Here is a 9604-nt window from a genome sequence, read left to right as displayed (position 1 = left end):
AAAAAAAAAAAAAGAGACACCAGAGAGCTCAACCTCTTTCTGTGCACATGCATGGAGGAAAAGCTGTGAGCATGTGGGGCACAGAGAACGAGACCCGAGGATATGGTGCCTGGCATGCTGGGCACTTCTGAATGTGAGGAAATTGGAAGCTTTAGAAGGTGCCTCACAGCCAAGGACTTTCTAATCTTCTCTTGCTTCTTGCCCACCTCTCCCCACCCCTGTCCCAGCATAGAAGGGGCACTCTGGAATTTCGTTATCTGATTTTGGAAATCAGATTAAGCACAGGGAGAAGATTAACCACAGGGAGAAGATTAATCACAGGGAGAAGAGGAGAGACCAGGAGTCTTCACCACTCCCCGAGAGAATTTCATCTACTCTTCTGAGGGCAGCTGGAGACATCACCTGGGAGACTCTATCTGCATAATTAGACAACCTTTGTGCACAGTGAAGTTCCACCCCTCACCTTCCCACCACGTCCTCCAGAGCAGAGGGGAACTTTGTCCCAGGACATTGTTCTTTGGGCTCATGCGTTTACTGAAAGTCATTTACTGCCCCTCGCAATTGCCTACAACCCCATTTCCCTCTCCCTTATGAGGAGGGTATTTAAGCCTCAGGCGCCTGGTGCTCCTTTGAATCTCATATTTTCTGTGGCCTTGTGCTTATGCACATTAGCAACTTTGAATGCCTTTCTTCCTCCTATTAGTCTGCATATTGTCAGTTTGTTCAAACCTTCAGAGGAAAAGTTTGAACTTCCCTACAGGACACAGAAGAATGGCAGCCATCTGCAAGCAAGAAAGAGAGGCCTCACTGGAAACCAAATCATCCAGAACATTGACCTTGAACTTCCAGCCTCCAGAACTGTGAGAAAATACATTTCTGTTGTTTTAAGACACACAGTCTATGGTATTTTGTGATGGCAGTCCAGGCTGACTGATACGCACAGTGTGTTTGCCTTTCTAAGAAAAAAAAAATCCACAAAGTGCTGGTGAGATTTTAATTAAAAACCACAACAAATAAAATCTGAACTTGGATTTTAATTGTAAAGGATTAATCTGTATTCCATGGCTAGAGGAAAATGAAATTCAAGTTTTAGGAAAATCTAAGCAGCTAAACCCTTGAGTTGGACAACAGTTGGACCAGAGTCACTGCCCGATGCCAGGACTGGATGTGAGGGATGGTTTCCCAGCAGCACTAGTGTGAGACCATGGCCGAGAGGGAGACCAGGATCAGACTGAGATACAGAGGACTCCTCCCATCACACTTCAGCTCAGGACCCCAGGATGTTTTCTGTGGACCTTCCTGAAATTAAGAAGTGGATTTGCCGTTAACACAGAAACAGCAGAAAGAAAAAAGAGGATATACGTATCTCAGTTACAATGGAGGAGAGATTCACTGCAAGCAGCAGAGCCTGGTTTTGTATGCTGCCCTGACGGCTTCAGAAACCCCACTCCTCCCACTGCGTGGTTCAACCACCCACTGATTTTTTCTTGTTCTCAGGGGCCCTGCCTTTTCCTGTCCTTGAATAAATGTTTGCAGGAACAGCTATCCTCCCATGCAAATGCACACCTCTTTTTCTACAGGCAGCCAGAGAGAAAATCTTGAGTTTGGGGTTAGAATAATATGTCATCTGAGCTGATTCTCTAAAGGATTCCATTACAAAAAGTCCCCTAAATGATAATTGCGGACTTTGTCCTGTTATCAACCACCCCCACCACCCCCCAAGCAGCTGGGCTTAAAATTGCCTGCTGACTGATTCCCTGGGGTTTTCTGTGTAACTCTTCCATCTCCAGTAACATTGCACATGTGTACACATGTGTGCATACACACGCATGCACCCTAAACCCACAAATATTTATTGAATGCTTGTGTAAGACAGTGAAGGCCTTGTGGAAAGTGTACAGTGTGATACCTGCCCTCAAGCAATGATGATCCTGTTGGAGAGTGTGTAAATCTATGAAAAAACAATTTGCAAAGCAAGAGTTAAATATTACCAGCCCCAAGGGAAGAGAGGACAGCTTAATCTTTAATAAAGCTGTCACCTCTGACCCACTGGGTTCTCACAACAGCTCCGAGAAATGCTCATGGCAAAGGCTGCAGAGTGATGAGGGAAGGACCGGAGGGGTTAAGCCATGTGGATTCGCAACACAGAAGGAAGATTGGCCTCGCCAAGCCATCAGCAGGAATGAACAACAACCAAGCGCCGTCTCATTTGCAGTCTTGGCAGCTTGTCTGTACCAAATAAACAACTTAACAAAGAGACCTTGATTTTGATAGTTTGAAAATGGGAGCGGGGTTGATTTACCCAGCGTCTGGCTTTTGCAAAAATCATGCCATTTGAGCTTTCGAGCACTCTGTTCCCCCATCTCCTGGGGTAAATTGACTTTTAAATGAACACAGTTAAATACCCAAGTCTCTGTAACCAGGACAAAGGCTAAAAAGTGCACCTCCTTCCTACACAAGCCACATCAATTTCAGAAAGCACTTTCTCTCGGACCATAGTACATAGCCCTTTCCAGCCCCAGCCAGCAGAACAGAGCCCGTAGAGCCAAAGCCTGGGGTCAGCAGGCTCAGGGGCTGAGGAGGTGGGACAGGAGCTTCTGATTTAGAGGAGGGGAATGTTGAGAGAACCATTTCCCCACCTGCTGCTGTCATCTCCTCTCCTTCCCACTTACTCTTGCACACATAAAGGGAAAAGGATTGAGTTCTTAGAGCAGCGGGTTCCAGTCGGCGGCCTGGGGACTCTTGGGGGGCTGTTGGCAGGACTCTCATGTGCAGGATGCTGATCACTCTATCCGATCATCCATCTACCTGCCCACTCCCTTGTCGCCCCACCAGACATCAGATAAGTCCCCTGCCCCAACCCATGCGTGCTGTGCTATGCTGGATGCTGCTGAGAAGACAGACATGAATCTGATAAGGTCCCTGCTGTCAAGGCCACAGAGTTGCCTGTGGAAAACATAAGGCCTGCTCACTGGTCTGAAGCACTGTGCAGTTAGACAGATCCAGGTTCAAATCTTAACTCTACCATACAATAGCTTTGTTTCCTGGGGCCTCAGATTCCTCATTGGCCAACGTCCCAGTCAAGTAAGTGAAACTGAAATGACCCTCCCTGAGCACACAGTAGATACTCAATAAATGTTAATCCCCATTCTCCTTCCCAGGAGAGGATTAAACGATTACCTAAGACTGGCCTACAGGACTGAAAATGGAGATTAAGACAGAGCAAAGCATGACAGAATTGGGAAAGACATTTTCTGCCTCACCTAAGAATTTTATTCTATTATGGAAAGGAAGCTGCTGGCCCACTCCTGCCCAAAGCATTGTAGTGTAGCCTCCCTCTTCTCCCGATGTCATAACCATGTGTTCCTAGCACCTAGACACATGGTGGACATTAGTGGGTATTTCATTAAATGAGGTTCTCCTGGTGTTTCCCAAGTCAAAAGCAGCTCTGTACCCTGCATTGCTGTGTTCCCATCTCAGCAATCCTGTGCATTATTTTGTTTTGGAAAGATCCAAAAACAAGAGAGAAATAAACTTCTATCACGCAGACAACCCAGGGAGGGAGTGATCTGTTATGAGGGAACTCAGTTTCTGCTAGGCCTTGTGTTCAAAGTTATATGCAGTTTCCAGCTTAGTTTTCCTAATGATGATGGAAGAGATGACAACTATTCCAGGTTTACAGAGAAGAAAAATAAGTTCAGAAAGGTGACATGATGACAGACTCCCAGGCCAGTGCTCCTGTTCCACAGCTGTTCCACAGCTGCCTTTTCTGATGGCTGTGAGTTGTGGGGTGAAAGTCCTGGGGAGGGGAGCGGTTCTCTAATTCCAGCTACTCGGGTGGCTGAGGCAGGAGAATCGCTTGAACCCAGGAGGTGGAGGTTGCGGTGAGCGGAGATCGCACCACTGCACTCCAGCCTGGGCAACAAGAGCGAAACTCAGTCTCAAAAAAAAAAAAAAAAAAAAAAGTTAAGATCCATAAGATCCAGCCATTCTACTCCTAGAGGAAAAAATATAGATGTCCATGTCAGGGAGGGGAACAACACACACTGGGCCTGTTGTGGGGGCAGGAGGAGGGAGAGCCTTAGGACAAATAGCTAATGCATGCGGGTCTTAAAACCTAGATGACGGGTTGATAGGTGCAGCAAACCACCATGGCACATGTTTACCTGTGTAACAAACCTGCACATCCTGCACATGTATCCTGGAACTTAAAATTAAATTAAATTAAATGTTAACAATGTATAGATAGATGTCCATGTAAAGACTTCTGCATAGATGTTCAGAAGAGCTGTATTTGTAATAGACCCAAGTTGGAAACAGCCCAGATGTCCTTCAGCAGGTGAAAGAATGAACACACTGGCATATCCACACCAGGGAATACCACTCGGCAAGGAAAAAGAGGGAATGGCGGACACAGTCAACAACATGGATCACACTCAGAGGTATAATCTAAGTGAAAGAGGTCAGATACAAAAGGCTGTTGTATGATTGCCTTTATGTGCCACTCAGAAAAAGGCAAAACCATTAAGGACAGAAATCTAAGCCACTGTTGCCAGGAGCTGGGGATGGGAAGAGTGATTGAGTTCAAACGGGATGAGAGTGATCGCTTGGGGGTGATGAAAATATTCTGTCTGGATTGTGGATTGTGGTGGTGTTGACACAACTCTATACATTTTGCAAATCTTACAAAACTGTCCAACTAAACTTCACAGTATGCAAATTACACCTCAACAAACCTGACTTTAAAATTTTTTAAGTATTATCATTACCATATTCAGTGATGGTTTCCTCCTTTTTTTTTTTTTTAGCAAAAGCTTATCACTAAAATGAGAGAAAAAGAGCACTATATATACCAATTTCTGCTGATTAATCCATGACTAAATGCCATATTTTTGTATGGAGGGCTATAAATAAAGATTTCTATCACACACACGGTGCATGCGTGCACTGTACCTGATGAGGAACTTTTAGAGCCCCTGCCTCTATGACAGTCGCTGGCACAGAATGGAGATGAGGAAAGTGGCTGTTATCATGCTCATGATGCTGTTTCTCATGCTCGTGTCACTCGCCACAGCCACAGACACATGCGGAAGGCCGGCAGGGCCAGTATTATCATTGCTTCTGTTTTATAAATGTGAAAATGAAGTGAAAGATCTTACCAAAGGTCACACGGCAGGTCCATGGCAAACCCTGAACTTGAATCCATGTCTTTATACCACAGACAAAGTCATACATTTCCATTCATCTTCTCTCCAAAAGCAAGGAAGTGAAAGCCAGGCGGGAGGCGGGGGTATGGACTTAATTGTAAGCCCTGTCGAGGGAAAAATTCATGGGCAGGAAGTAAGCTTGTTACAGACCGTGGTCTGTTCTGGGAGCTTCCGCAAACCAGCTCTGGCGAATCTGAAAAGGCCGCCCACTCCTTCGCACCGGGAGCCTGTGAGGTGGTGCGGGCCCAGATGTGACCAGGACACACTGGACGTTGCTCAGCGGTGGCCTCCACACCAGGTCATGAGGCAGACAGAGTTCCTGGGAGTTTGACATCCTGGACCCAACCCGGCCCAACCCACACTGGCTGCATTTTGAAGCCACCAGGCAGCCCCTGGGCCCAGGACGGCCTGGGAAGGGAGGGCTTGATGAACAGGTCCCCACCCTCCTCCCTCCTGTGTCCCCGTTCTGCGGCCGCCTCCTTTGCCAGGGCCCCAGGTGGCGCCGGACTCCCCTTCCTGCCCTAGAGGCCTCCTCTACGGCCCTGTCCCCATGGGGAGCTCCATCCTGTTCACCACAGGAAGCATTTCCCAAAGGGAGCTGCTCCAGCCACCAGGTCTGAGGGATGGTGGGTGGGGCGGGTGGGGAGGGGGCATTTTCAGAAAGAGTTCTGAGGAAAAAAATGACTTCTGTGGGAAATTCCAGGTTGAAGCGTCATGGGTTGAATCGTGCCCCCTCCGAAAGCTTTGTTGAGATTCTAACCCCCAGTGTTACCACTAGAGGGTCGTGACGGCAAGCTGTCCAGGTTCTTGGCTTTTTGAACGAAGAATTGGACAAAACGCCCAGCAAAGCAAAGAAAGAATGAAACAACAAGAGAACGAAAGGAGGGATTTATTGAAAATGAAAGTACACTCCACAGTGTGAGAGTGGACTGAGCAGCAGCTCAAGAGCCCAGATCTGGAATCTTCTAGGGTCCAAATACTCTCTACACGTTTCCCATTGGCCACTTGGTGATCATATTATGTAAATGAAGTGCTGGCCCACAATTGGTTGCTTTCTGCAACCAATCAGAAGCTGAAATGAAGTTACCAAGATCACGCTCCTGTGCAAACATCTGATTGGCTGCAAAAAGCAACCAATCAGAGGCTAAGATGAAGTTGCAAAGTTGCATTTCTATGCAAAGGAAGACTCAGCGGCCCGGCAATCAGTCTGACTGGTTGCGGAAAACCAATTTCCCATCTGTGGTGCAGAAAAGGTGGGGGTTTTGCACAGGGAGTAGCCTCTGGTCCTTTTGTTACTTAGTCCTGGAAAGTTAGGTGTTTCCTTTCAATTCAGTTCTAGGAAGTCGGCTTGAAACGGCCTTAGGTTCCCCGCCTCCAAACCCTATTCTCCTGCCTCACCAGCACCTCAGAAGGTGACCTTCACTGGAAACAGGTTTGCTGAAGATGTGATTAGTTAAAATAAGATGTCCTGCTGCACTAGGGTGTGCCCTTAATCCAGTGTGACTGTGTCCTTAGGAGAGAGACACACAGAGACACATGAGGACAGAAGCAAGCCTGAGGTGCCACGGATGCCACAGACGTCACAGACGCCATGGACTGTCAGCCACCAGCAGCTGGAGGAGCAGGAAGGACCCTCCCTAGGCCTCCAGATGGGGCACGGCCCTGCCGATTCCTGGATCTCAGACTTCCGGCCTCCAGAACTGTGAGAGAATCGATGTCTGTTGCTCAAGCCCCAGCGTGGTGCTTTCTTACAGCAGCCCCAGGACACTGGGACACTGGGACACTCACACACACAACGTCCATAACCATTTTACTTTTCAGAGACTTGAACAAGCTAACCTGCAAGAAGTTCCAAGAAGGAGGAGGCAATCACCCCCTTGTCTCCATTTATTTTACCACAAACCTTTTTCCTCAAAAAAACTCAGTGTGCCATGAAACGTACTTTGAGAAGTGGGGGTCTTTGGCATGCATCTGTGGTACCCCAGGAAGGTGACATAGAAGGAGGGGCCAGGCAGGGACCACAGAGTCTGGGTGCCCCTCCAGAGAGGGTGTCTCACCAAGCCACAGGCCAACACCAGGCCCCGCAGAGACCCCTGCTCGTGCTCAGTGAATGAGTGGGCACCCCGACTAACAGGAATTTCATCCTATTGACAGACAACCGACCCTCTGCCTCTGGACCAGTGTAGGGGTTCACCCCAAAGGGAGGCCCCACCAGACATTTGCTCGCCTCCCTGGCCTCAACTCCCAGGCCTCCCCAGCCCCTTGCCCACCCCAGGCTTCCGTGACACCAAGCTGCCACATGCCTTGCCTTCTCTGCTCTGGGCCTTCTCACACATTGTTCCTGCTGTCTAGAATGACCCCCTACTCTCACTCCAATTCCACCTTTTGTCTGCTGACTGGATCGCCACTCATTCATGAAGGCCAAGTTCAGGGACTATGGACGCCCCTCTCAGGCCACACCTCCCCACCCTCTGCCAGCACCTTCCACAGTGAGGGCCCTGACAGCTCCTCCACCCTGGTGTCCAGGCAGCTTCTCGCAGTGAAGAGAAGATGAACTTCAACATGGCGGTAGCAGTTCACGCTGACCTTCTCCCTTGGCCTTGGGCAACTTGCTTTGCCTCTTCAAATTTCTGTTTTCTCATCGATAAACATTATCTATGAGCCAGATGTTTGTGAAAATAAAATAGCGTATTACTGATAGGTGCTGGACATCTAGTCGGTGTAAATAAAATTGCGTTGTTATACTGTTGGTAACATAGGATTTGTCCGGGGGCAGCTGGACCGGGAGCTCCTTGAGGACAGAGGCGGTGGGTGTGCCGCTCCTCTCTGCAGCCGAGCCCCCAGTCCTCCCAGAGTGAATGTTTGCTGACTGCACGAGGGAGCCATCCCCTTGGAGGCTCAGCAGGGTGTGGGCTGTGTTGTCAGCCCTTCCTCCTCCTGTTCACAGCCTTCCCTTAATGACTCAGGAGCACTCCCGGCAGCATCCCCTCTTACAACACACTGCCTTGCTCCAGGGTTGGCGATGGGATCGTTCCCCCCAGTTCCTAGAGCCTAACAGCACCTAGAGCACTGTGATTCTGCGTCTGATTCTGAGTCGTGGGGACATGAGCATCAGGGGTCTCCCCCAAGCACTCCATTTAACATTCACCCCCACGCTGGCACCATCAGCCGAGCAGATAGCATTTCCTGTCTCAGAACGTTCTTGTCATTTGTTTAAGCAAGTTGAAAACTGCTGCACCAGATCCCACTGAAAGGAAGTACTCAGAAGTCAGGTGGGTTGGGAAGTCGGGGAAGAAGGTCCCTCCCTTTACATGTCGTAATTTTTTCTGTTTTCTAAATTTATTTATACTGGATGTTCTAACATGCTGATAAAAGCCATCTACAAAAACATGCATTCATTAAACAGATATTGGGTACCTTCTATTCACCAAGCTCTGTAATGGGGTAATGGAGTCAAAATTAAAATTAAAAATTCCTACCCTTAATAAATATATTGATTAAGGTACACATTAAATGGCTAGAACAAAAAACGCCCCTACAGACAATGACCCAAACACTATAAGAGTTTGTTTTTCTCTTTTGTAACAGTCCCAAGGTGACTTCCACTCCACAAGGGCATTCCAGGAATCAGCTTCCTTCTATCTTTTTTTTCTTGCTGAGGTATAACTTACATGCAATAGGCACATAAATCTTAAAAGAATAGCTCAATCAATTTTTATGTGTGTATACACCTGTGTAACCACCACCCAAGTCAAAGTACAGAACTTTTCCAGCACTCAGGCTAGGCATGGTGAGTCACGTCTATAATCCCAGCACCTTGGGAGACCCAGGTAAGAGAATCACTTGAGGTCAGGAATTCAAGAATGGCCCGGGAAATCTAGTGAGACCCTGTCCCTATAAAACATAGAAAAAATTAGCTGGGCATGGTGGCTTTCACCTATAGTCCCAGCTACTGTGGAGGCTGAGGCAGGAGAATCACTTGAGCCCACGATGTTGAGGCTGCAGTGAGCTATGATTGTGCTACTGCACTCCAGTCTAGGCTACAGAAGAAGACCTTGTCTCAAAAAAAAAAAAAAAGAAAAGAAAAGAAAAGAAAAAGAATGCTTCCAACATTCAAGTTCCTCCTGTCTTATTGCTTTGTAATACCCTATGGTGTTATCTTCATTCCACAACAAAAACTCACTCATTTTATCACCTCTACATTTCAACCCACAGGAAAGAGAGAGAAAAAGGAGGAAGGCATGTAATTTCCTAATTTAAAAAACAAACGGTGATCTGGAAGTTGCAGAGATTGCTTCTGTCACACTCTATTAGCTAATTCTTAGTCTTATGACTATACGAGCTATAAGCATAGCTGGGGAAAATTGCCTCTAGTTGGGCAACCACATAAGCCAAAT

General features: G+C 47.6%; 1 long non-coding RNA gene across 1 annotated transcript; it reads right to left on the bottom strand.

Annotated features, from left to right (window-relative positions):
• Positions 1 to 1014: 1014 nt before the first annotated feature.
• On the bottom strand, positions 1015 to 7866 carry LINC01954 (long intergenic non-protein coding RNA 1954). The gene is made up of 2 exons (NR_110575.1): positions 7689 to 7866; positions 1015 to 1299 (listed from the first exon to the last, which is right to left on the bottom strand). It is a non-coding gene; the product is annotated as a long intergenic non-protein coding RNA 1954 (long non-coding RNA).
• Positions 7867 to 9604: the final 1738 nt, after the last annotated feature.

The sequence above is a fragment of the Homo sapiens genome, chromosome 2 (genome assembly GCF_000001405.40).
Source record: "Homo sapiens chromosome 2, GRCh38.p14 Primary Assembly".
NCBI lineage: Eukaryota > Metazoa > Chordata > Mammalia > Primates > Hominidae > Homo > Homo sapiens.
This window is presented reverse-complemented; position numbering and strand designations above follow the sequence as displayed.